The following is a 27,727-nucleotide window of genomic DNA, read 5'->3' on the forward strand; positions in this document are numbered from 1 at the left end:
TCCTGCCTCAGCCTCCCGAGTAGCTGGGACTATAGGTACCCACCACCACACCCGGCTAATTTTTTTTTTGCATTTTTAGTAGAGACGGGGTTTCACCATGTTAGCCAGGATGGTCTCGATCTCCTGACCTTGTGATCCACGCACCCAGGCCTCCCAAAGTGCTGGGATTACAGGCGTGAGCCACCGCGCCTGGCCTGTACTTACATTTTCAACTTAAGATGTATGCAGTTTGGTGTATCTAAATTACACACCCATTTAAAACATGGCAGGATGGCACCTGGTTATTCACCTAGGTTCTTCTGTAGCAGTGAAGAAAAGAAAATACCTCCCCTTCTTATCTCCAGGTCAAGGTACAGTCTGTGCAGCTCAGAAACACTTTTAAAACAAGCTATATTATTTCTAAACAAAGTTGTATTTGAACAGTGTTCATGTTCATTTTATTCTTTTTTTTTTTGAGACAGAATCTCGCTTTGTCACCTAGGCTGGAGTGCAGTGACGCAATCTCAGCTCACTGCAAACTCTACCTCCCCAGTTCACGCCATTCTCCTGCCTCAGCCTCCCAAGAAGCTGGGACTACAGGGGCCCACCACCACACCCGGCTAATTTTTTGTATTTTTAGTAGAGATGGGGTTTCACCGTGTTAACCAGGTTGGTCTCGATCTCCTGACCTCATCATCTGCCCGCCTCAGCCTCCCAAAGTGCTGGGATTACAGGCGTGAGCCACCGCGCCTGGCCTCATTTTATTCTTTGGAGCTTCGTCTGTGAGGTTGCGTTCATTTTTGTCCTCTGTCTAGACTCTCTAATAGGGAAGGTAGCCCTCCACCTACCCCACCCCCAAAGTAAGTAAGGTGTCTGTCTTCAAAAACAGTCAGTTCCACTGAGCAACAAGTCTCCTGACTTCCTAGGCCCGCACAATCTGTCAAGAGCAACAGGACGACACGATGGGTTTGGGGGATCATGTGTCCAAAGGGATTTTGTTCCAGAGATGCTATGCGCGGCATGATGTTTCCCTGTTACCACTTTGGGAACACAATCTCTTGGCAACTAAACCTGTAAACTCAGATTAACAGAGCTCTTTCCCTTCCCAAAGTTGGTTTTCCTTTCCTTGAATCTTACTTAATAAACATTGCTGCTCCCAGGGTTGAGTTGGTTTTATGTGTTTACGATAAGTTAGGTTCAAAGCGCCCACGTGCAGTGCCTTATCTATCCTGCCCCGGCCTTTCCTCTAAGGAGTCCAAAGGATAAAGCCTGGTTATAAAAGGCCACAGCCAACCTGCTGGGCTGTGAGTGGAAGCTCTGGTGCAGCATGGTAAGTCAGGGCCCCATGTGAGCAGGGGATTTGGCAGGGCGGGGGCAGCCCAGGCTACAAGAGGGACGTGGCCCAGAGGCGGGGAAGCCACCACAGTGGAGCCCCTGAGTCCAGGGTCCTAGTGTGCTGCTGTCTAACTCCCTGTGCACTGGGAGGACTCAGCCTCAGGGTCCCCACCTCAAGGGAGAGCCCTGTGGGGCCCGGGTTGCGGGGCGTCTGTTCTACTCACTGTCCTTGTGACCCGGGCTCCTGACCCAGCTGGGTCCTGCCCCTGCCAGCCTCACTGTGCGCATGGGTCTGTGTGTGTCTGTGTTTCCATCCATGTAGATGCTGCCCCCTTGGACCCTCGGCCTTCTCCTGCTGGCCACAGTCAGAGGTGAGGATGCTGTCACCATTCCTTTAGGGAGAAAGTGACATGCCTGGGCTGGCCTTTGGTGAGGCAGCTAGAGGTATATTAATAATTATTATAATGATTATGAAGAGCATTATCGTTACTTGGAGAAAACAATTGTGCCACTCAGAGAGTGTTGACTCTCAGGCAGACACAGGGCAACGTGCCGGACACAGAGTATCTCCCGTAACCCTCCTACTTGGCCACCTTCTTCCTGCAAAGACTCTCACGGCTGGGAGACAAGTGGAGGGTGTGGTGTTCCCACCTGATCCCAATGCCCTTGTCCTTGCCTGCAGACCAAAGTCATGTGGATGTGCCCTCTCCCAAGAAAGCCCAGTCCTGCCAGGCAAGCCTGCCTTTCTGCCATCAAGCCCACGTGTCCTCTTCTCAGAGTCACCGTTTCTGTCTCTCCAGTTTGTTCCCCCGACCTGGTTCTGTCCAGAGGAGATACAGATATTCAAGTTCTACTTATCCTAAAACACAAATCACCTCCGTTTCTTTTGGAGCCCCCTGAGCCCCAGCCTGCTGACTTCCCATCTGCCTACGCCTTCACAGGCGTGCTTCCTCCGGGAGTCTTTCCCTCTCCGTGGGGGCTGCCTCACCTCCTCTCCTGCCAGAATACCTCACTGCCCAATTTGGTCCCCCAAGTCCTGCTGTAGGAGACATGGTCTCCTTGGGTCCCTGTGGGGGCTTTCTTCTGCCTTGTGACTCTTCCCCCTTGTCTTCTCAACCCCGCCAGCCCACTCTTGGCCTCTCCTTCCATCCTGGCCATGAATTAAGGCCAGGCTCCTGACGGCAGAGACCGGGGTGGGTGCGACTGCTCCTCCGGCCATACAACCCCTCTTCATCTCCTTTGCTGACCTGCAGCCTCCTCCTGCCCCAAATGTGGACATTCCCCAAGGCTCACGCCAGGCTCTCTCCTCATCTCTCTCCTCCTAGGGCCTTCCTTCTTGCCCAGCTTCCTGGTCTTCCCGAGTTGCAAGAAGCCCTATCAGGGCCAAGCCTCAAGCCTCAAGCCTCACTCTCACTTCCCTGCCCCCAGCCTTCTCAGGCTTTTCTGCTTTTCAGCCCCCTGTACTCGAGTCCCAAAAACACAGGACTGCCTGTGGAAGCACAGCATTGCCACTGCCACCACCACCTCCCCTCAACCTCACCAACTCACACCTTCCAACACTTTCCTGCTCTCCACTTAAGAGAGCCCAGGTGTCTTGCATTCGAGCCCCTTCATTTAACCAGCTACCTTTCCCCTGGGGCAAACATTGCTTAAGCCTCCTAGAGTCCACCTCCAAGGGTGCACCCTCTTCCTGGAATGAATTCAACGCCATCAGTATTGCTTCCCTATTAGAGCTCCTCCCTTTCAGGACAGGGTTCATATCTCATTTATCTTTGTGTCCCCTCAAGTTCTAGCTTTATTCCCAGTTAAACTTCTTGGGTTCAAATCCTGCCTCCACCACTAGCTGTGACCTCAGGTAGCTTACCTTGTCTCTCTGTGCCTTGGTTTCCTCAGCAGTAAAATGGAGATAATACTAATTCCATATTTGTGTTTTCAGGCTTAAATGATACTATACCAGTAAAGTACTAACATGGTATCTGGCACATAGTAAACAAATATAAACTATTATGCATTTTTTTAATGATTCACCAATATTTGGCATCATCAGTACAGGAGTTGAGGAAGCATAAGAGAAAGGACCCATTATAATCCTTTGGGTTGGAATTATGTCACCCGTAGTGACCATATCCTGTGATCATGTTTATGTCATGGACACAGAAAGTACTCTCAGACTTAGATGTGGTTACTTGGATCATGGATTACATGTATTGAGTCTCTACTACACGTAGTGTGATACACAAGTCATTCCTGTTCTTAAGAAACTTACTTTTTCAAAGAGCAAAAGAGAAAATATGAAACGGCAGAGAATCACCCTTTCAAAAAAATGTGCATAAAAGGATGACATGAAGACATGTGAATTGGTGTGGGCACGGCCTATGCTGTGTGTAATAGAGATGTCAAGACAAAGTAGCAACTCTGTGCTACAGAGTTTGTAGGCACTCGATAAATACTCACTATTTGATGCTTACATGTAAAGAGTCAGCTGCAAGTTTCCTGAAAGAGGTGGTTTTAAGGCAGCAGTTTGTATTAGGTTGGTGCAAAAGTAACTGTGGTTTTTACCATTGAAAGTAATGGCAAAAACCGCAATTATTTTGCACCAACCTATGCATCAGCAATTCCCCAATTTGCCTAATGGTAAGGGGCACTTACTGAATATGTGTTTCTAGGACCCCACCCCAGACCCTCTGAACCAGAATCTCTGAGGGAGGGACCTATGAATGTGTATGTACAATACACCTGTTCCCCATACTGCCGCCTGCCCCCACCCGCCCTTCCCACCCCGCGACGCCGCAGCCCCCAGGTGATTCTTATCATCCCAGAGGTTTGGAAAATGATGGCAAAGATAAAGACCAGCACTGGCCTTAGCCAAACCTGGGCTCTGTCCTGCAGAGTTTTCCTGTATGGATATGACGTTGCTTCTTTCCAGAAGTTCACACATGTCCTGTTTGTGGCTCACCCTAGGAAAAGAGGTCTGCTACGGACAACTTGGCTGCTTTTCTGATGAAAAACCATGGGCAGGAACCCTTCAGCGACCTGTAAAATTACTTCCCTGGTCCCCCGAGGACATTGACACCCGCTTTCTTCTGTACACAAATGAAAATCCAAACAACTTCCAAGTAAGAGCAGGCATGTAAGCGCTGCATGGTGGGTGTATTTGGGCCGCCACAGTGGAGTCTTTGCATGGCTGTCTAGGGCATAAGTCACTGCCCTGGAATTTTCCAGAAACTCCAAGGCATAGAATCCAAGGCGTAGCTCTCAGGATCATAAACACCTGAGTATCTGATGAAATCTACTGATGCCTAACCCAGAAACTTACACATTCACACACACTGGTGCAGAGAACTTCAGGGGCTACCCCAGCGTAAATGCCTTGTTCCCTGGGAGGAAGGGACTATGAGCAGCATTTATGGAGAAGCCCAGGCCTGGTGTAGCCACCGGAAAGTCTGCCTCGTTTCTACACAGGAGAGTGGAGGGGGAGAAGCCTCTTGGGCATTGGGGGTGGGGGTGGGTGTAAATTCTTCCTGAAGAGCTAGGAGACAGGTAGGGGAGAGGGGACATGTAGCCACAATAGATAAAAGATGAGGTCCTCTGGAGCAACCTCCAGTTTTCAGCAGGTCTGCCCATCAGAAGCAGATCAGACTTGCTCCAGAGTGTCAGAAGTGACCAGGAGACAGTTTCAAGAAAGACATTGCTGAGAATCCAGCAGCTCACAGCTCTGGTCCCTGACAGAGTTTAGGGAGCCAGGTGCTGTCAATAGGTTTCTGAGGTCACCCACTGTGGGACTCTATCTGACAGACCAGCCTTCTTAGTGCCCCCAGCCCAGAGTCGGCTTGGACATGGTTACGGTGCGTCTCATCTGTAGGGGTTGGTGGCATCTTCTGGCATCTCATCTGTAGAGGTTGGTGGCATCTTCTGGCGTCTCATCTGTAGGGGTTGGTAGAAGGGGGTCGAGCAGCCTGTGGCAATTTAGAAGTGCATTCCAAAGTCTCACAGCTCCACTGAACTGAATTTGCTCCCACACTTAAGCTTCTGGTCCAGGGGTTCCTCACCTTTTCTGTGCCAGGAACCTCTCTGGCCACCTGGAAGAAGCCTAAAGGCCCCTTCTTAGGTCAATTTTTTGTTGTTGTTGTTTTTTGTTGGTTTGTTTGTTTTTTTTGAGACAGAGTCTTGCTCTGTCACCCAGGCTGGAGTGCAGTGGCGCGATCTCGGCTCACTGCAAGCTCTGCCTTCTGGGTTCATGCCATTCTCCCGCCTCAGCCTCCTGAGTAGCTGGGACTACAGGTGTCTACCACCACACCCAGCTAATTTTAGTAGAGACGGGGTTTCACCGTGTTAGCCAGGATGGTTTCGATCTCCTGACCTTGTGATCCGCCTGCCTCAGCCTCCCAAAGTGCTGGTATTACAGGCGTGAGCCACCGTGCCCGGCCAGGTCAATGTTTTTAAATGCAGAAATAAAATATATTGGATTACAAAAGAAACGAATTATATTGAAAAATAATTACCAAAACATTTAAATATATAAATATGTGATATAGTCATATATGTGCTTTTTATATATCATTAAATAACAAGATCTAGGGGTTGGTCTAATAACTACTATAATTTAAAATATTAATGAGTATAAATGATATTTTTAGATATCTGCAATAATTACATTATGACCTGAAAATACCTGTGACTTCTACCGGGGACAGAGTCACAGGTGTTGCTAATACCACTGTGGTTTATTGTCTAGTTTTGTGATTAACTGAAATGCTAGATATGGATTAAGGATTAACTAAAATAGAAAGTCTGTGAATTTGGACTTTCTGAAATCTATCCACAACCCCAGGTCAGGAGCTCCTTCTAGTCTGACCCAGCTTTGTGGGCATTGAAGCTGTGATATCAATTCTGAAACTGGCTCTAATAGACTCGTGGCTTGGAAAGGGCAACATTCAAATTAATCTTTTTAAATTAAACCAGCTAATCACTGGCACGGAACCAGACACCATTGAGGCTTCAAACTTCCAACTGGACCGCAAGACACGCTTCATCATCCATGGCTTCTTAGACAAGGCGGAGGACAGCTGGCCATCGGACATGTGCAAGGTAGGGCCCTACCACTTGGCCACTCCCTGGTGAGACCAGCACCCAACACACAGATTCAAACACTGTACCCCCAGTTTCCCTTAGACTGGGAAAAGAAATACTTCAGAGAGAGATGGGTCCTTTTTAAAACCACCGAGGAAAGCCCAGTTCCAAAGGGCATCCATTACCAAGCTCTCTCTACCTACCAATTTCTAGCCAACAATCTCCTATGAGGCTGAAGACACCCAGAGTTCAGTCAAAAAGTCTCGAGGTGGAGACTGCAGCAAACTGCTGGGCATTTATCCCTGAGGACTTATGTAAAACCCCTTTGTGATGTTAAAAACACTTAAATTTTACCCTCTAAAGCACCGCTATCCAATAGAATGTTCTGCAGTGATGAAGGTGTTCTATATATGCACTGTCCAAATCAGAAGCCACTGGCCACATAAGTTATTCAGCACTTGAAATGTGGCTGGTGCAAACGAGGAGCTGAATTTGACATGTTATTGAGTAGTAGTAGTCTGCTCACACCTGATTTAGTAAGTGGTCTTTTTAACCTGGTTGTGTTCCTAACGATGTGTGAGACCTCAGACACGTCACTCACCCATTCCAGGGTTCAGTTTCCATATCTGTTAAGCGGGTACTAGCATGTCCAGTCCATAGCACTGCAGTGAGGGTGACGTTATGGCAGGTATAAGAACATCAAAGCTCTGGCATGGGCTAGGTGTTTGACAGACGTGAATGCCTATCTCTGGGGTGTGCACCTGGGGGCTGTTTATAAATTGATTTCTCTCCCTTGTTTGTCTTCCCCAGAAAATGTTTGAAGTGGAGAAGGTGAACTGCATCTGTGTGGACTGGAGGCACGGGTCCCGGGCAATGTACACCCAAGCCGTGCAAAACATTCGGGTTGTTGGGGCGGAGACAGCTTTCTTAATACAAGCACTGTCGGTAAAACCCTGCCTGGGCCCTGTCCTGTGGGTAGGGGTCAGAGAGGGGCAGGGAGGTACCACGTGGCATGGAGAGGCAGCCTGGGGACCCGTGGGCATGGGTAGGGGCCGGCAGCTAGTAGCCCAGATTGCAATCAAGAAGGGCAATTCCCAAGATGAAGCTCTGCAACCTTCCTCTTTGCCTGCTGTCCTGAAGACACCTTGCCCTATCACTGTCTAGCTGTGGGGCCTGAGGCAAACTAAGCCTTGGTTTCCCCTTTTGAAATAGACCTTCCTTGCAGGCTGTTCTGCAAGGGTCAGAGAGCAGGCTGGGCTGCCCCGCAGCTCCCAGTGCAGAAGATGAGTTTTCATCCTTCGCCAGCCCACGAGGGAAGGCCCTGGACCTTTCTGCAGGATCTATCGGGAGGGGGCGGGGGGAGCCAGAGATAGGGCCCACTCTACCCGTGCTTGCCCAGACAGGCCATACCCCTGGCAGGGACGAGGAAAGGGAGCTGGGGGTGGGGCAGTCCCGGGCGGCAGGCCGTGTGCCACGCCCGCCCAGGTGGCCTGCAGTTGGCGTGGTGGCCGCTGGTCAGCACTGTTGCCCCGCGCACGAGCCGGCCTGCGGGACTCGCAGGCTGCAAATAGGAAGCGGGGTCGCCCTGCCCCAGGCGGCGTGCTCGAGCCCGGGTCCTGCCCCCATCCCTGGCAGGGCCCGGCGCCCCGCTCTCAGACCAGCGGGTCCCCACGCGGTGCTGTGGGACCTGACACGCTATCCCTCCGCAGACGCAGCTAGGGTACAGCCTTGAGGACGTGCATGTCATCGGCCACAGCCTGGGCGCGCACACGGCCGCGGAGGCGGGCAGGAGGCTGGGGGGCCGCGTGGGCAGGATCACAGGTAGGGGTCGCGGGGCCCCGGGCCGGAGTCCCAGGCCCCCGGGTGCGCACCTCGGAAGCCTCGGCCAGCGCCTTTCCGACGGCGAAGGGCGCCCCTGATGGTCCTCCTGGGGACCCGATTTTTTGTGATGACCGGCCTTAAATTTAAAAATAATTTTCCATAATGTGTATTAGAAAATAGATAATTAAAAATAAAAATGCATTCATTTTTTAAAACAAAGGCTGGGCCACTGGCTCACACCTGTAATCCCAGCACTTTTGTAGGCTGAGGCGAGAGAATCGCTTGAGGCCAGGAGTTCAAGACCAGTTTGGCAACATGGTGAAACCTTGTCTCTATAAAAAATTTTTAAAGTTGGCCAGGGGTGATGGCTCTGCCTGTAGTCCCAGCTACTCGAAAGGCCCAGGTGGGAGGACTGCTTGAGCCTAGGTGTTCCAGGCTGCAGGGAGCTGTGATAGCTCCACTGCACTCCACCCTGGGTAATAAAGGGAGACTGTATCTCAAAAAAAAAAAAAGAGAAAGGAGGAAAGAAAAGAAGGAAAGGAGGCAAGGAAAGAAAGAAAGAAAGAGAGAGAGAGAGAGAGAGGGAGGGAGGGGAGGGAAGGAGAAAAGTGAGGCCGGGCGCAGTGGCTCACGCCTGTAATCCCAGCACTTTGGGAGGCCGAGGTGGGTGGATCACGAGGTCAGGAGATCCAGACCATCCTGGCTAACAAGGTGAAACCCTGTCTCTACTAAAAATACAAAAAATTAGCCGGGTGTGGTGGGGGGCACCTGTAGTCCCAGCTACTCGAGAGGCTGAGGCAGGAGAATGGCATGAACCCGGAAGGCGGAGCTTGCAGTGAGCGGAGACCGTGCCACTGCACTCCAGCCTGGGCGACAGAGCGAGACTCCACCTCAAAAAACAAAAAAAAAAAAAAAAAAAAAAAAAAAGAAAGAAAGAAAAGAAAAGGAGAAAGATTTAACTAGCACATTAAATCCATGACTTAAGAGCTATTATTTTCAGAGTATGGCAAAGTAAAAGAAAAAATGTGAGATGGTTTTAAAAATTCGTCAGTTCCACGTAATTGTTTGAATGTCTCTACTGCGCCAGGCAAAGACAGAAAATGCAAATGCACACTGAGACCTGCCATATAGAAGGCGCTCAGTAAATACTGAATGAATGAATGAAGCACTAAACTGAATGCATATAAGGCAAAGACACAAATAACTTAATTTTGTGCAGCCAAATCAGTTTGTAACTTCACCAAACAGTTCACATCAACATTTAATGAGCGTCCCTTTGCCCAAGGCACTGGGTGAAGGATGAGGGGGTATTGGTTTGTGTTTATGTAGAATTTTGCAGTTTGCAAAGTCCCTTCTCTTACATCTCTTCATGAGGGTTTCACAACGACTCTGTAAGGTAGGGGTTGTCATTATTCCTGCTTTCCCGATAAGGATACAGAAGCTCAGAGAGGGCAGACATTTGACCTGGAGTAGAACTAGGGCAAGAATACAGGCCACTGTGTGCCCCCTCCTCCCACGCTCTGTTTCTCTCTGAAGATGACCTGGGGACAGCATAATACAAAGTGGATGGAATGGGCTGAGAAAGGAGAGGGGTTAGATTTTCCATTTAACCATGAGGAGGTGGTGTGTGAGCTGGGTTTGGAGGAGAAAGATTTAGATAAAGGAAGAATGTGGGAAAGAGCACAGCAGGCTGGAGAATGGCGTGAGCCAAACAAAGGAGTAGATGCTAGCAGCTGGGTAAGGCCTGGGGTCTTGCAGTCTCTGAGAGCAGTGGCCAAATGGTAATGTGTGAGGACAAAAAGAAAAAGGGAAAGAAGGGGTGTACGGAGGCTACCCAGATCCTCCACGGAGCCAGGCACTGGGTATTTCTGAATGTTCATCCACAGGCAATGACCCCATTCCCAGCCTTTCTGTCCCAGACTCTCTCTCCCAGGCAGACCAAGAACTGCAGACCCAATCCCCAGAACCATAGCTGCTGGGGTAGGAGGAATCCTCATGCTTAGTCTGCCAGTACTGGCTTTAAATCCCAGTTCTTAAGAGTCCAGCCTGCCTACCTTCTCCCTTTCAGGGCTGGATCCAGCAGGGCCGTGCTTCCAGGATGAACCTGAGGAGGTTCGGTTGGATCCATCTGACGCCGTGTTTGTGGATGTGATTCACACAGATTCTTCTCCCATAGTTCCTTCCCTAGGTGAGTTCCTCAATCCCATCTCCTGCTGACCTGTGCTACAGCTAATGACATTGGGTCCAGATATCCCCTCTCACACATACATACACACACAGCAGGGGAGGCCATTTGAAATAGCTACAGGAATGGCTTGGGCACCAACCAGTCAAAATGGGTACCAGTCCCAAATAAATAGCTAGTTCAATGCCAGTGGAATCAGCGTGCAGCCCTGGGTTAAACAAAAACCCTTCTGTAGTCTATGAAAGGTTGTCAATCAATCTTCAAACTCTGCATCCTTCCCCAATCTACCAGTAACTAGTGGGGCAGATGTATTCATTCTTAAAACTTGACCTGTACTTGCAAAATACGAAGTTAATTTTTGAATATTTTTCTTACTTCTTCAGTCAAAGCTTTGGTTACACTTTGTTTTGTTGGCAACTTTATCCCATTCTTTAATTCTTCTAAAATCAGTGTTTTTTTTTCAATATTTTCTTATATAGCCACTCATGAAACTTGCCAATAAAGGGTATGTTTTTGATGATGATGATGATGATGTTATCACTTACTTAGTGTTTACCATGTGCTACACTGAACATTTTGCATACATTAGCTTGTCAATTCTGTAACACTCTAAAAAGTGGGCTTTATTACCACCATTTCATGGCTGAGGAACTGAGGCTCAATTAGGTTAAGTAATTGACCCAGATCACAAAATCTGTAAGTAAAACCAGGATTTGATCACGGGTTCATATGCTTTGAAAGCCAAAGAGCCTAGCCATATGCTACGGCTCACAATATAACAATATAATGTTATGTAGTCTCCACATAACAATATAATGTAGACATCAAAATTTTAAAATGAGTAAAGTAATACAAATTGCACCAGTCTTGATAGGTCTACTGGTGCATAATGGTAGCAGGGCATATCAATATGGTCCAAGACTCTCCGAGACACACAGATGCACATCCAAATGTATGTGTCTCACTCACCCAAAGCTCAGCCTCCCCCTCATCTCACTTCCTCTGCCCTCTCCTCCGTCCTCATCTTGCCAAGCACCCATCTTTGAGAACTTTCTGCAGAGCTAGAGGCAGTGGTAGCTGTGATAAAGGGAGAATTTGCCAAAAAGGGTCTTGCTGTGGCCACACCCTAACTTTGGCACCAGTCACCTCGCCGCTCATCTCTGCTTCAAATATTTTAGGTTTCGGAATGAGCCAAAAGGTGGGCCATCTGGATTTCTTTCCAAATGGAGGAAAGGAAATGCCCGGATGTAAGAAAAATGTCCTTTCAACCATTACTGATATTGATGGAATATGGGAAGGTATGTAAATTAAAGAAGTAAGACAGCAATTGCTCTGTTCGGGGAGAAAGCAGAATGCATGGTCTGGCCTTCATAATGCTGACATTTGCCACCGTTTATGGAGTGTTGTGAAAATGTGCCAGGCATTTTCACAGCAATGCAATGAGATAGTTACTCTGATTAGTTCCAGTTTGCAGATCCAAAAACTGAGGATCCGAAAAATTACATAACTCAATTGGGCGTGGTGGCTCATGCCTATAATCCCAGCACTTTGGGAGGCTGAGGTAGGCAGATCACTTGAGGTCAGGAGTTCAAGGACAGCCTGGCCAACATAGTGAAACCCCATCTCTACTAAAAACACAAAAATTAGTTGAATGTGATGGCATGCGCCTGTAGTCCTAGCTACTCAGGAGGCTAAGATATGAGAGTCACTTGAACCCAGGAGGTGGAGGTTGCGGTGAGCCGAGATAGCACCACTGCACCAGCCTGGGTGACGGAGTGAGACTGTCTCGAAATATATATATAAAAAAAGTTACATAGCTCATTCAAGGCCGCTCTATATCTAAGCCCAATTTCTAACTATAAAGCCCTGAGCTCATGCCCCAGCCTGTGTATCTCCCTGTTGTCGGCATCCTGGGACAGCGGCTTGGCTGGCATGTTGGCTCTGGCTTTGACCACCTATCCTACCTGCAGCACCTGCTCCTTGAAGAACTGCAGGACATAGGCCAAGATTTGAAGGCCTTGACTTGCTTGCTGGTTGCTGTTGTTGGGTGCTAGAAATGGAAGGGGACTTTGCTGAGAAGAAGACAAAGGAGGGATGTGCTCTGTGGGTTTGGGGTACACGTGTAGGAGGGGGAGGCCTGGAGGTCTGGGAGACCCATGGTGGCTGCTGGCCAGCTGTGTACATTTCTGTTCATCTGAGAGAGCACGGCCCATGCCCTGCCATTAGGCGACCTCATAGCCCCATCTGATTTGCTGCCCCTTGCTCTGGCCTTTTTTGATTCCTGTTGCCCCTCCCCTGACACCAGGCTTCACTCTCCTCCCTGAAAAGAGAGGTTTTGGGCCTGTGATAATTTTAGTCTATTTTTCTGAGCTGGGAGTTCCCCAAGGCCAAGGACTATGTTTTGCACATTTCAGACACTCCAGTACCCTGCTCAGGGCCTCATCCAAAGCAGGCACGAAATATACTTTTAAATTGAGTTGAGTAGCCTTGTGTGGCATTTTAATATTCCATGTGCTTAATGTCAAAGAGCAGAGTCGATAAAGCGATCGCCAGCATCCACCGGCAAATAAACGGAGCTTTTGCCCTCTCAGGTAACTCCTGGGGAGATGTGACCATTCCAGGCTCCCTGAAAGCACACCAGAGTCACAATAATAGCTGCCCCCTCCCACAAACGATGAGCAAGGCACACATAATAGGAACGAGTCCAGGTTTAATTAGAGAAGCAATGTCGAGTGAACAAGCCCATGAGCACTGGAGTGTGTTTCTATTGTGTCAAGCTCCGAGTCATCCAGGCAGTGGGCACTGAGGAATAATTAAATCCACTTTCTCCTCCATTATGGGGTCCCAGGGCAGCAATTTTGGATGAAAGAAACAATTAAGTTTGAAACAGGTTCTGTTGTCCAGTGATGAGCACCAGTGTGGGCACAGGGAACGTGGCTTCAGCTAGAAGTCGCTGGGCCGAGGGCCGGGAGCCGTGGAGTACGAAGCCACCCTGGGCACAAAGGGAAGTGTTCCTTTCTCAGTGGGTGGCAATAAAGCCCCGCAGACCCCCCAGGAGTGGTCCGCAGGTGTGCCAGGGTCACTGTGCATTTCTCCATGGGAAGTTTTCTACCAAGTAGCCAGAGAAATGAAAAAACACCTTTCCGGACTTTTTCTAAAGAAAAGGATGATAAATAAAATGCAGTAAGAGAGTGGCCAGAGGCCATGGCCACCTTGCCATCACCGCTTTTACCTTGTGCCCTGCATAGCAAAGAGGAAGAATCAAAAAGCCTGGTTGATGGGGAAGGCCTGCCCGGTATGTCCTCACAGGGATCCTCACAGGGATAGGATGCGGTCTGCAGCAGCATTGGATGGGCCGGCATGGTAACTGTTTTTAAGATGGGGATGCGCTGCCTTCACTCACGCATGCGAAGGTTTTCAGGTAGAAGTGGAGATCCTGGCTTCTTATGAAAAAATCAGAGGACCAGGCGATTTGGGGCTTTGAACATGTGACACCTGGCTAGACTGTGTAGGGTTAGAGGGGCCCTTTTTACAGCTATTGCTATCTTCTCTTAGTCTCTCTCTCTCTCTCTGTATGTATGTGTATATATACATATATATACATATATACATATATGTATGTGTATATATACATATATACACACATATATATACATATATACATATATAGTATGTGTATATATACATATATACACATATATAGTATGTGTATATATACATATATACACATATATAGTATGTGTATATATACATATATACACATATATAGTATGTGTATATATACATATATACACATATATAGTATGTGTATATATACGTATATACACATATATGTATGTGTATATACGTATATACACATATATAGTATGTGTATATACGTATATACACATATATAGTATGTGTATATACATATATACATATATAGTATGTATATATATACATATATACATATATGTGTGTGTATATATATACATATATACATATATATGTGTGTGTATATATATACATACACACACTTGTATATATCATAGCGTATGTGTGTATATATACTATATATATACACACACACGTATACCCTCTCTATGTCTCTCTCCTCTGTCTCTGCATCTCTCCTCTGTCTATCTATCCTCTCTCTCTGTCTTTCTGAATCTCTCTCTTTCTCATCACTATCTCTTTTTGTGTTTCTTTTTCTCTCTCCATTTCTCTCTCTGTCTCTGTCTCTCTGTCTCCCCCTCCACCGGCTCTCTGTCCCTCTCTGACTCTCTGTCTCTCTCTCTCCCCCCACCAACTCTCTGTCTCTCTCTGATGCTCTCTCTTTCTCTCCCCCTCAACTCTCTCTATCTCTCTCTGACTCTCTGTCTCTGTCTCTCTCTCTTCCCTTACCAACTCTCTGTCTCTCTCTCCCCCACCGACTCTCTCGTCTCTCTCTGACTCTCTCTCTCTCCCCCGACCAACTGCCTCTGTCTGCCTCTCTCTATCACTTTCTCTCTCTCTCTCTCTCCCTCACCACCCCACCCTATTCCCAGCCCCCAGCCCTCCTCATTCATTTGTGTTACATGCCTGGCCCCTGGAAGAGTGGACAAAGGTGCTTGTCAGGACATGTCACTCCTCCACAGTCACCTAGCCCTGAGTAGGTCCCTGCTCAGCAAATGCCCCAAGATATTCAGGAGCCGACACCCATCGGTGAAATGTGCAGGTGATTCTTCCTTAGTCAGAATGAGTTGTTCACACTTAAAAGTGAAAGGCCTCCTTTGAGCTCCCGGGACCTTTGTTTTTTTCAGGAATTGGTGGCTTTGTGTCTTGCAATCACCTAAGAAGCTTCGAGTATTACTCAAGCAGCGTCCTCAACCCTGATGGCTTCCTGGGCTATCCCTGTGCCTCCTACGATGAGTTTCAGGAGGTAGGTTACCCCAGGAGGCTGAGGAAGATGTTGCTGGCCCTGTTTGGGGTGTTTTTGTGTTCCTGTGGCTTAGAACAGAAGAAAGAGATGTAACTCTGCAACTAATGCAGGGAGGTAATGGAAATTCTGCACCTCACAAAGCCATCTTCCCCCAGGCAGCAGGGTGGGCTGGAGGGGGAAGGCACAGACCTGACTGTGCTGGGCCCTTACTAGGGTCCCCAGTTGTTCATTTAGAAAAATTTCCAATTTGCAAAGAAGGTGAAAGAAGAATAATGATGAATACTGTACACCTGTCACTTAGATGCACCAGTTGCTAATATTTTATATATGTGTGTGTATGTATACTTTTTCTAAATTATGTGAAAGTAAATTAAAGACATTATGACATGTTACTTATAAAAACTTTAGCCTCCATCTCTTAAAAACAAGATCCTTCTCCTATAGAATAACATTCAAGAAATGTATCTTTGATACACTAATATTTTCTAATATATAGTACATATTCAAGCTTCTCCAGTTATCCAAATAATGCCCTCTAGAGCTGTATCTGTTTGCCTGCCTTCTTTCTTTCCTTCCCTTCTTCTTCTTTTTTTTTTTTTTTTTTTTCGCATTGCAATTATTTTGTTGTCTCTTTAGTCACCTTTAGTCAAGAACAGCTTCCCATTTTTTCTTGGTCTTTGAAGACTTGCCAGTTATGAGGCTTTCAGACCAGGTATTTGGCAGGATATCTCACTCTCTGAAATTGTTTGATTTTTTAGGCGGTGCTTCAGTGAGTAATAGCAGGTCCTTCTCAGTGTATTACAACTAAAGAGATTCATTTAATGTTCACTTATTATTTGATGACATAAATTCATTCATTATTTGATGACTTAAACTTTAATTACTTGGTTAAGATGTTTAAACTCACATTTTGTCCTTTCAAAACTAATTTTAACCTTGACATTCTTGGGTTGAACTGAGGTCAAAAGGACATCGTATTTGATCTCCAAGGTCTGTGAGTGTTCAGTGAGAAGGCTTCACTGTGCTAGTTCTTGTTGGGTCATGGATAACAACATGGCCTCCAGTATTTGTCTGATTCCTACCAAATCACAAAACAGCTCTACACATCATGCATTTTGGATGTGGCATGAGGTCAAAAAGCAGAGGACAATGACACTGTGGCATAAAGCAATCAAATCCCTGATTCAAAGACAGCAAGTTGCCTCCTCTGCGCCTAATTAAAGAACTATCATTTGAGAAGCAACAAATAAGAATCAACAAGTCTGGAGAAATAATTCACATTAAAGTGAAAATGGTCCTGGACCTTCCCTTCCTCACTTCTTTTGAAATAACTTGCCATCTCTCCCACTTCTCCCTACATATATTATATTTCATACCCCATTCATATTTTAATTTTACTGCTTCCTGGATATGACTTGTTTTCCCAACTATATTCCAAGTTTTTGAGGCACTTATTTGGATACTCTGCAGGGCCTAGCACAGTTCTATGCACAATTCCAAGGGTGGAAGCATGGATGCATGGGTGCATGGGTAGATAGATGCAGGAGTGCATGAGTCAGTGGGTAGATGAGAGAATGGATGGACACATGGATGCATGGGTGCATGGGTAGATAGATGCAGGAATGGATGGATTAGTGGATAGGTATGAGAATGGATGGATGGGTAGATGAAAGGATGGATAAGGGATGGATGAGTAGATGGATGGTTGCATAGGTAAATGAAAGGTGGATGGTTGGGTGGGTGATGGGTAGATAGGTAGATAGACATAGGAAGGAAGCTGAATTGATTGACTAACAGACAAATTATGGTTTTTTTTTTCCACTAGAGTAAGTGTTTCCCTTGTCCAGCTGAAGGATGCCCCAAAATGGGGCACTATGCTGACCAATTTAAGGGGAAAACAAGTGCTGTGGAACAAACCTTTTTCCTGAACACAGGAGAGAGTGGTAACTTTACTAGTAAGTTTCCATTTTACTCACTTCAAATTCTTGCGAATAATTTTCAAAAGTGTGCCAACCTTATTAGTCAGTATCCTTGGTAACAATGGATAGAAACTTAACTACAACAAGCTTAAGTTGTAATGAAAGGACAGTGAAATGGAATTTGTGTTGGGTCTCACCCCTTTAACCAATACTCCTGACCAGCAGAGAAAAGTACAATGATTGGCCCAGGCTGGGTCACATGTTCACCCACCCCTGTTGCTGGAAGGATGCATCTATTAACAGAAGAGGGCAACGTGAAAGTCACTGTAAGTCAAGAAGTCAGTGCAGTAATGACTATCTATTATATTAGTCCTCCTACATACACACACTTTGTGGTGATGTCATTTCGCCCTGCTTCTTATTTTAAAAGTACAAGATAGTAAAATTATCAAGACTCATTTACTGTGAATAATAGCACATAATGGCTGGAAAGGAGAGCAGTTATTTTCTAAGAGAGTTTCAAATTTAAAAATTTATATCAGCACTTTACAAAACACTTTTCACATACAGTATTTCCTGTAATCCTCAAAATATTTATCATAAAAGATAAGAGTTTGGCAGAATCTATAAAATCTTATATGCACATTCCTTTAACCCAGTAACTTCACTTCTCAGAGTGTACCATAGAGAAATACTTGCGTGTGTGCATAAGATGATGTGATCAAGGATGCTCGCTCTTTATTTTTAAGAGCGAAAGATTGAGGGGAAAACCTAAATGTCCACCAGTTGTAAATGACTAAATACTATAGATTAAATACTACATGTAACCATTAAAAAGAAGGTTATACCTCTGCGTACTGAAGAGAGAAAACCTCTAAGGTGTATTAAGTAAGAAGGCAAGTGACAAAACAACATGCAACACACCCATTGTCTTCATTGGTTCAGACTGCTGTAATGTAGTACCATAGACTGGGTGGCTTATAAATAGTAGAAATGTATTTCTCACAGTTCTGGAGGATGGAAATCTGAGACCAGGGTGCCAGCATGATCAGGTTCTGCTGCACATTGCTGTCTTCTTGCTGTATACTCCCACGTGGTGGAAAGAGGAAAAGAGCACTCTCTGTGGTCTCTTTTATGAGGTTACTGATCCCATTCATGTGGGCTCTTACCCACATGAATTCAGTCCATTGTACCATGTATCAGTCAAAATACACATGTGCAGTATCAGCTGCCCTTCATTCATCCAAGAGCACATACCTTGCTGTGTTCATAAGGGACTGTGCTGAACTATAATATTTACTGACCCCTGAGTCCCTTGCTCCCACCTAGAACCTAATGTACCCTTAATTCCTGGGCCCCAGGAATTCAATTAAGTCACAGTCCTATTGCCTCTCACCCCTGGAGGATTCAGAGCTTGGAACAATAATATTTTCATAGATCATTTTTTCAATAAGATGAGTTCATTAAATGGGTTGTATTTCTTTGGACAGGTTGAAGATATAAGATATCAGTCACACTTTCTGGAAAAGAGAAAGTGAATGGGTACATCAGGATTGCTTTGTATGGAAGTAATGAAAACTCAAAACAATATGAGATTTTCAAGTAAGTTCAATGGTAATGTGAAATGATCATACTTTCCATAATAGATTATTCAAACTTGATTGAGTATAAAGTGCTTTATAAATCTAGGCATCTATTATACAGAACCACTGAATCCTAGAATGTCAGAGCTGGAAGAAAGTCTCAATGTCTAGTTCAATTGTCCCATTTTACATATGAGAAGAGTGAGGCCCAGAGAGAGGGAACTCACTATTTAAAATGAGTCATGTGCTAACTCCTTTTGGAATGTCAGTCACCTGACTAGATTGTTTTTTCTTTTTTTGTTATTTTATTTTATTTTAGATTCAGGGGGTGCATGTGCAGATTCATTACATGGGTATATTGTGTAATGGTGAGGTTTGGACTTCTAGTGAACCTATTACCCAAACGGTGAACATTGAACCCAATGGATAAATTTTATCCCTTATCCCCATCCCAACCTCTCTCCTTTTGGAGTTCCCAGTGTCTATTCTTTCCAGTTTTATGTCCATATGTACCCATTGTTTATAAGTGAGAACATGCAGTATTTGATTTTCTGTTTATGAGTTATTTCGCTGAAGATAATGGCCTTCAGCTTCATCCATGTAGCTACAAAAGACATGATTTCATTCTTTTTTATGGCTGCATAGTATTTTATGTTGTCTATATGCCAAATTTTATTTATCCAATCAACCACTGATGGACACTTAGGTTGATTCCATGACTTTGCTATTGTGAATATTGCTGTGATCAACATACAAGTGCAGGTATTTTTCTGATAAACTATTCCTTTTCATTTGGGTAGATACCCAGTAGTGCAATTGCTGGGTCAAAATGAAGTTCTATTTTTCTATCAAGGTATTTGAGAAATCTTCATACTGTTTTCCATAGGGGTTGAGCTAACTGACATCCCTACCAACAGTGTATAAGCATTCCCTTTTCTCCATATCCTTGCCAACATCTGTTATTTTTTTTTTGACTTTTTAATAATAGTCATTCTGACTGGTATGAGATTGTATCTCACTGTGGTTTTAATTTGCATTTCTCTAATAATTAGTGATGTTGAGAATTTTTTTATATGTTTGCTTGATGTTTGTATGTCTTTTGAGAAGTTCTTTGCCCACTTTTTAATGGGGTTGTTAGTTTTTTTCTTGTTGATTTAAGTTCCTTATAGATTCTAGATATTAATCTTTTGTCAGATGCATAGTTTGTAATATTTTCTCCCACTCTGTAGGTTGTCTGTATACTCCGTTGATTGCTTCTTTTAATGTGCAGAAGATCTTTAGTTCAATTCAGTCCCATTTGTCTATTCTTGTTTTTGCTGCATTTGCTTTGAGGTCTTAGTCATAACTTCTTTCTTTCTTTCTTTCTTTCTTTTTTTTTTTTGAGATGGAGTTTCACTCTTGTTGCCCAGGCTGGAGTGCAATGGCAAGATCTCGGCTCACTGCAACTTCCGCCTCCTGGGTACAAGCAATTCTCCTGCCTCAGCCTCCCACGTAGCTGGGATTACAGGCACCTGCCACCATGCCTGGCTAATTTTTTTGTATTTTTAGCAGAGATGGGGTTTCACCATGTTGGCCAGGCTGGTCTCAAACTCCTTTCCTCAGGTGATCCACCCACCTCACCTAAGCTAATGTACAGGAGAGTTTTATCCTATGTTTTCTTCTAGAATTTTTATAGTTTCAGGTCTCACATTTAAGTCTTTCATCCATCTTGAGTTAATTTTTGCATATGGTGAAGAATAGGGGTCCAGTTTTATTCTTCTGCCTATGGCTAACCAGTTATCCTAGCACCATTTATTGAATAGGTTTATTCAATAACCCTTTCCTCGTTGTTTATTCTTGTTGACTTTGTCAAAGATCAGCTAGCTGTAGATGTATGGCTTTATTTCTGGGCTTTCTATTCTGTTCCAATGATATATGTGTCTATTTTTGTACCAGTACCATGCTGTTTGGGTTAGTGTAGCCTTGTAGTATAGTTTGAAGTCAGGTAATGTTATACCACTGGCTTTGTTCTTTTTGCTTAGATTGCTTTGGTTATTGGGGCTCTTTCTTATTCATATTCTAAAACATGAATTTTAGAATTGTTTTTTCTAATTCTGTAAAAAATGACATTGTTAATCTGATAGGAATTGTGTTGAATCTGTAGATCACTTTAATGATATTGATTCTTCCTGTCCATGAGCATGGGATGTCTTTCCATTTGTTTGTGTCATCTACAATTTCTTTCATCAGTGTGTTTATCGTGCTCCCTGTAGAGTTCATTTGCCTCCTTGGCTAAATGTATTTCTAGGTATATTTTGTGTGTATGGCCATTGTATATGAGATTGAGTTCTTGATTTGGTTCTCACCTTGAGCATTTTTGGTGTATAGAAATGCAATTGATTTTTGTGCAATAATTTGTATTCTGAAACTTTACTAAAGTGATTTATCAGGCCTAGCAGACTTTTAGGGGAATTGTTAGGATTTTCTGGATATAAAATCATGTCATCAGTAAACAGAGATAAGTAGACTTCTTCTTTTCCAATTGGATGCCTTTTATTTCTTTCTCTTGCCTGATTGCTCTGGCTAGAACTTACAGTACTGTGTTGAATAGGAGTAATGAGAGTGGACATCCTTGTCTAGTCCCAGTTCTTAGGGTGAATGCTTTCAACTTTTCTCCATTCGACATAGGGTTAGCTGTGGGATTGTCATATATGGCTTTTATTATTTTGAGGTATGTTTCTTTGATGTCTAGTTAGTTGAGGGCTTTTTATCATGAAGGGACATTAGATTTTATTAAAAGCTTTTTCTGCATCTATTGAGATTATTATATGTTTTTTGTTTTTGATTCTGTTTATATGTTGAATCACATTTGTTGATTTGCATATGTAGAACCACCCTTGCATTCCTGGAATAAAACCCACTTCATTGTGATGAATTATCTTTTTAACGTGCTGTTGGATTTGGTTTGCTTGCATTTTGTTGGGGATTTTTGTGTCTGTGTTCATCAGGGATATTGCCTATAGTTTTCTTTCTGACTTGGATTTTGTAAATATCAAAATCTCTTCAGGCAAGGCACATCTGTATGGCACATACCCAACACACACCCCATCCTCACACACATAGGTACACATATGAAGCCTGTGGCCATCTCATCCATGCTGTGTGGCCTCAGCATCTGGCTTCTGCTGGGCATGTGAGGTGCTTGGTAAATATGTGTTAGATGAATGCATAACCTGTACAATAAAGTTAGGTTCTGTTTTTGCACTAACTTTTACATAAAAATGTTTGTGTTGAATTAAATGTCCTTGACAAATTCCTGTAATACACATGAGATGCTAACAAATGGCACCTGCTGAACCACATGCATCTTTAAACATAAGACATTGCCCCAAATAGTCCTGTAACAAACTTAGAGCATTCATATGCCACCCCAAATATTCGACTTAGCTGTAGGTAAAAACTAAAACAGTGGAAATCTGGAGTCCAGTATTTTTAAAAGGTGTGTTCTGCACAAATACTTTTATGTTATGGCAGCCCCTGGATGTGTATGAAGTCATCCAAGGTGTTTGCAGAAAACCAACAACAGCAACTATTGTTTAGAGAAGTGATAGATCGCAATCATGTTATGTATTCATATATCCAGCTGATATAACATTTTATGTCTATATTTTCAGAGGATCCCTCAAACCAGATGCAAGTCACACGTGTGCTATTGATGTGGATTTTAATGTTGGAAAAATACAGAAAGTTAAATTCCTCTGGAACAAACGTGGGATAAATCTATCTGAGCCCAAACTGGGGGCTTCCCAAATCACAGTGCAAAGTGGTGAAGATGGGACTGAGTATGTATTTTTTATTGCATCTAAGTTTGGTTATTTATATTTACATATTGATCTATCTGTCTAGGCATTCATTCATCCAATTGCCCACCTACTCATCTATGTACCCATCTACTCATCCATTCATCTACCCATCTATCCATTTCTCTATCCTTTTAACCACTTAGCCACTTACCCATTCACTTATTCCTCTACCCATCCACCCAGACACCTATCTTATCATTCTTCTGGCCCTCTGGCCATTATTTGATCTTCCCTCCATCCATTCATCTTCCCAGCTGTTCATCTCAACTCTCCATCCATCCATCTGATTTACTTTGAAAAACCAAACGTTGTTTTCCTTAGGCAAAATTCAACTTGGCAGGGGCAAGGCAATGATTGTAGGCACAGATTCAAGAAACGGGCAAATATGAATGACTATTTTATCTCAAACAATAAGGAAAACACTTGGGAAGCACATAGTGGAAATCTCTGAGTTAATTCCAGTTGATGTGCAGTTATTAATGTAAACAGGTTTGTTTGGAGACTATAGCATTAGAGGGATACACACTGTGTTGGGAATCTGGCTCATAGTGGCAAGTTCTTCCATTCTGAGAGAATAGAATCCTACTTAGTAGGCATTGGGAGAGAATATAACTGTTTTTAAAATATGGAAAGAATGACACCTCAAAAGAGGATAATTCAAAAACAATGGGATATTAGAGAATAAAGGAAACATAAATGTTGACTCTCAACTGATCTTGTTTTAAGATGAGGAAGTAAGATTTGGAAAGTCAAGTAACTTGTCTAAGGTCATGTAGGGAATCTAAAGGGAAAAATATTGAACTTCAGAATGTTTTCAAAACACACACCAAGACTTAGCTCAGCTGCATGACTCAACTTTGCTGGCTGTAAAAGTGGCAATAATCCCAATTACTCAGTATATTATTGGAAGGATCAGATGTCACAGTCAGCGTGCCATCACTTTGTGTACAGTAGACCCCCTTACCTGGGGGGATGGGTGATATAATCCAAGACCCCAGTTGGATGCCTCAAACCTCAAATAGTACCAATCCTACATATACTATGATTTTTTTTCCTATTCATACATACTATATGAATAGGAAATATGCTGGACAAAGGGACACTTCATGTCCTGGGTGGGACAGAGCTGAACAGAGCAAGATTTTATCATGCTACTCAGAATGATGTGTAATTTAAGCTTATGAATTGTTTGTTTCTAAAATTTCCCATTTCCTATTTTGGGACCTCAGTTGACCATGGGTAACTGAAACCATGGAAAGCAAAACTGCAGATAATGGGGGGCTACTATGCTCAGTTGTAAGGCACAACAAGGACTGGGACCCAGGTCTTCTGACAGCCCCTCCAGTGTTCTTTCCACTGTGCCCATCAACTCAGCCAGCTGGATGTGAAACTGAGAAGTCCATATGGTCTGGTAGTGCAATGCAATGTGAAAATGTCTGGATTTCTCAGTATTTAAGTGGGGGTGGAGTTCCTGTTTTAAGTACAATATAGAACACATACTGTATAATCCAAACACCAGAGTCCCCAGCCCACATGAGGGCTCTCTCACCAAGAAGCTACATTCTGAAGCTAACCCGGAGGGAAGGCCAGCTTGGCCACACTGTTCCCCTTGCATCAAAGTCACCTGCAAGGGAAGGAAGAGGCCAGAAGTGGCCAGCTTCTCATGCTTGGTGCTTGCTCCAACCTGACTTAGTTAGTTTGTCACGGTTAATAACCCTCCAGGATCTTTTTTATTTTTAAGCAATTTTATTGAACCATAATTCCCATAAAACACAATTAACCCATTTAAAGTGTGCAATTCAATGGCTTTTAGAATATTCACAGAGTTGTGCAACTATCACTACAATGTTAAAATCTTTTCATCACCTTAAAAAGAAACCCCAGACCCATTAGCCATCATCCCTCCACCCGCACATCCCTTTTTCTCAGCCCTAGGCATCCACTAATCTACTTTGCGTCTCTGTAGGTTTTCTTATTCTGGATATTTCATGTAAATGGAGTCATACAGTATATAGTCCTTCATGACTGGCTTCTTTCATTTAGCATAACGTTTTCAAGGTTCATCCACGTAGCATGTATCAGTACTGCATTGTTTTTTATTGTCAAATAATATTCTATTATACGACTATGCCACATTTTATTTATTCATTTATCAGTTGGTCATTTGGGTTGTCTCTACTTGGGGGCTATTATGAATAATGCTGCTATGAACATTATGTACAAGATTTTGTTTTCATCCTCTTGGGTATATACCTAGGAGTGGAACTGCTTGGCCATATGATAACTCTGTTTAACCTTTAGAGGAATTGCCAAACTGTTTCCAAAGTGGCTGCCACATTTTACATTTCCAGAGCAGTGTATGAGGGGCCCTCTCTGATTTTAATTTGACAGAGAAAGTCCCCTCTGTGCTGGCTGGGGCACTCTTGGTCCCTGGAACTCATTGCTAGACCCAAAGAGGCAGTCCCATCAGAGTCCCCTCAGTTTTGCAGTTTGCAAAGCTTCAGTTTGACATGGCTGATTCACTTTCCACCCATTCAGAGCCCACATGGGGAGAGGAGTGCTCTTTGAGCAGGTTTTGTTAGTAAGAATTACTTGGACTCTGCCTGGTAAAGCAGAACTTTTCGGTCAAGGGGAGCCGAATCCAGGGGGTTGCCCAAATGCTGTTTACTCACCTGAAGTCACATTTCCACAAGCAAAAGAGCCTCATGCTGACAATCTTTTCCTCCACAGGTATAATTTTTGTAGCAGCGACACTGTGGAAGAAAACGTCTTGCAATCTCTTTACCCTTGTTAAAAACGTGGTGCAGCTATTGCGGTAATAAAATCTTTAATGCACTCGGTTTGAGGGTGAGCTGTTAGTTTGACATTCTCTACTTTCTGGGTTCGCATTTCAGAAATGATTTGGGGGATTGGAGCCAAGTTTGCCACAGGTGATGCCTGGAACTTCTCACCCACTTACCTCTGCCACCATCTCTCTCTTTCCAGGCACTTTAGGTGGCCCATTCCAGCGGATTTTATTTCCTTAGACAATGAACTTCTGTCCTATTTGTAAAGGTCATTGTTGCTCTCGCTTGCTGCCCAACCAGCTTTTAACATCCTAGGGACACAAGGTAGACACCACATAAGCATTCAGAAAATACAAAGAGAAGAAAAGCAAAAAAGGAGAATGAAACAAAAATCCCGAGATATTGCCGCATTTTGTGGCAGGTGTAACTCCAAACTCTGATGATTTTGATTAAAATCCACCTGCGGCATGGAGACAGCGGGGCTTTTTTTAAAAAAAAAAAAAAAGTTAATGCATGCACATGTTACAAAATTCAAATGATACAGAAAAGTATTCTTATGAAAGGAGAATCTCTTTCCCCCTTGCCTTCAAGTCTCTCAGTTCTTCTTCCTAGAGACAACCTGGGTTTTTTCAAGAAATAGTCCATATATCCTTATGGATATATCTATTTTACACACTCAACCCTGCCACACCCTTTTTGTCTAAGCACAGATGATAGAATACTGTACACACTGTTCCACATCTTGCATTTTTCACTAACAATAAGTTGCATATTCGTCTCTAATGGTACAGGAAGAGTTTCTCCATTCTTCATATAGCTTCATAGATTCCACTGAGAGATGTACATGGTATGTATGGTTGGACTATTTTCTATTATAAATATTCATGCAATTAATATCCTTTCATGATATATTCTACATTATATAGCTGATCAATAAATATTTGGAATATGTTTATTTTGACCAATATTGCCAAATTGCTCTCTATAGCGATTGTATCAATTTATTCAACGAACAACATAGTAGGTTGAACCATAGGCAATTACAGTTTTAAAGGCCAGAAAAGCCAAATGTTGACAATTTCATGTGATTCATTCTAATATGAGAGCGTTTCACACTCTTACCAACATGGGTATTGTCAAATCTTTTGCCAATTTGATAGGTGAAAGTGTGTTTCCTTACATTGTAATTTGCTTTATTTTATTATGAGTGAGGTTTCAGTATTTAATGGGCTCTTGGTATTTCTTCCTCTGTGAATTATCCAAATTCTTTGCCAATTTTAGGCATCTTTTTAATACAGTTTTCACTTTAAACAGCTCTTTAATATTAGGAAAACTGGAATATTCCATCATATGCGAATATTTTGCTCAATCTATCCTCTACCCAGGGAGGAAAAAGAACGGCAGCAGGAGGGCCTGGGGCAGCTGCTCACAGGGCCTGTACCTGTCTGCCCTGTGCGCAGCTCATACTTAAAGGGTTCTGCAGGTCCCCATCACCCCAGTGGCTTCCCGGAGGGCTCCAACCACCTGAACTCACACTGGTCAGAGGCAGATGAGGCAGCCAGGCCTGGGTTTTCATATCTCCTTCCTGAGCCTGATACTGGCCACCAGCCTGTGTGGTCTTTTTTTGAGGCTATGCCCAGATTTGGGGGGGCCAAGGACCTCCTCAACAAAGCTGCTGGGGCCCGTGTGGAGCGCAGCCGTGGAAGCCTGGCCTCCTGACCATGCACCACTTCCCATTTGCCCCCAGCAGAACTGCCTGGGCACCCCAGAGAGTAAATGGGCTGGTGCCAGGTAGAGGGTGTTGCTTTCAGGGCCTGGGGGTTGTACTGTAGGTGCACCCGTTGCGCCAGGGTGGGGTTATTCACTGTTCAATTCTTAGAATCCTGAAATGGCTTCATCTAGCAGATTGAGAAAATGGCATCATGACAGCAGTGGCTGTTGCTTCAGGAGAATTGCACGTAATTCTTCCTTCCACTGAGATTTGGAGAATAGGGGTAAAGGAGCTCTCTCTTCCCTTTAAGGGGAGGCCTCTAATGCAAACAGAACTGAAGTCCTTGAGTTCAATGTCTTGGGATTTTTTTGTTTCCTTCGTCCTTTTTGCTTTTATTTTCTTTGTATTTTCTAAATTCTTTTTCTTAAAACCCTATACAGCATTTATTTGTTTTTATTTTTTATTTTTTTGGGGATGGAGTCTCGCTCTGTCACCCAGGCTGGAGTGCAGTGGCGCGATCTCGGCTCACTGCATGCAACCTCCGCCTCCTGGCTTCACGCGATTCTCCTGCCTGTCAGCTTCCCGAGTAGGCATCC

General features: G+C 44.2%; 1 pseudogene across 1 annotated transcript, besides 2 other annotated features; it reads left to right on the plus strand.

Annotated features, from left to right (window-relative positions):
* Positions 1 to 1,283: 1,283 nt before the first annotated feature.
* Positions 1,284 to 25,474, plus strand: PNLIPRP2 (pancreatic lipase related protein 2 (gene/pseudogene); annotated as a pseudogene). Its single transcript, NR_103727.2, has 13 exons — positions 1,284 to 1,309; positions 1,637 to 1,685; positions 4,276 to 4,430; positions 6,277 to 6,402; positions 7,195 to 7,329; positions 8,094 to 8,205; positions 10,274 to 10,393; positions 11,569 to 11,688; positions 15,172 to 15,290; positions 17,116 to 17,245; positions 18,700 to 18,811; positions 22,446 to 22,613; positions 25,365 to 25,474. The product of NR_103727.2 is annotated as a pancreatic lipase related protein 2 (gene/pseudogene), transcript variant 1, non-coding (transcript).
* Positions 14,470 to 15,669: an enhancer, noted in NCBI's record as "P300/CBP strongly-dependent group 1 enhancer chr10:118393650-118394849 (GRCh37/hg19 assembly coordinates)". NCBI's record gives its function as "activates an origin of replication core promoter dependent on BRD2, BRD4, P300/CBP, MED14 and CDK7 cofactors, with strong dependence on P300/CBP, by STARR-seq in HCT116 cells {active_cell/tissue: HCT116}" and the evidence as "EXISTENCE:reporter gene assay evidence [ECO:0000049][PMID:35650434]".
* Positions 26,519 to 27,048: an enhancer, noted in NCBI's record as "H3K27ac-H3K4me1 hESC enhancer chr10:118405699-118406228 (GRCh37/hg19 assembly coordinates)". NCBI's record gives its function as "activates a minimal SCP1, AML or CMV promoter by ChIP-STARR-seq in naive H9 embryonic stem cells {active_cell/tissue: H9 hESC(naive)}" and the evidence as "EXISTENCE:reporter gene assay evidence [ECO:0000049][PMID:30033119]".

This window comes from Homo sapiens, chromosome 10 (assembly GCF_000001405.40).
Source record: "Homo sapiens chromosome 10, GRCh38.p14 Primary Assembly".
Classification (NCBI taxonomy): Eukaryota; Metazoa; Chordata; class Mammalia; order Primates; family Hominidae; genus Homo; species Homo sapiens.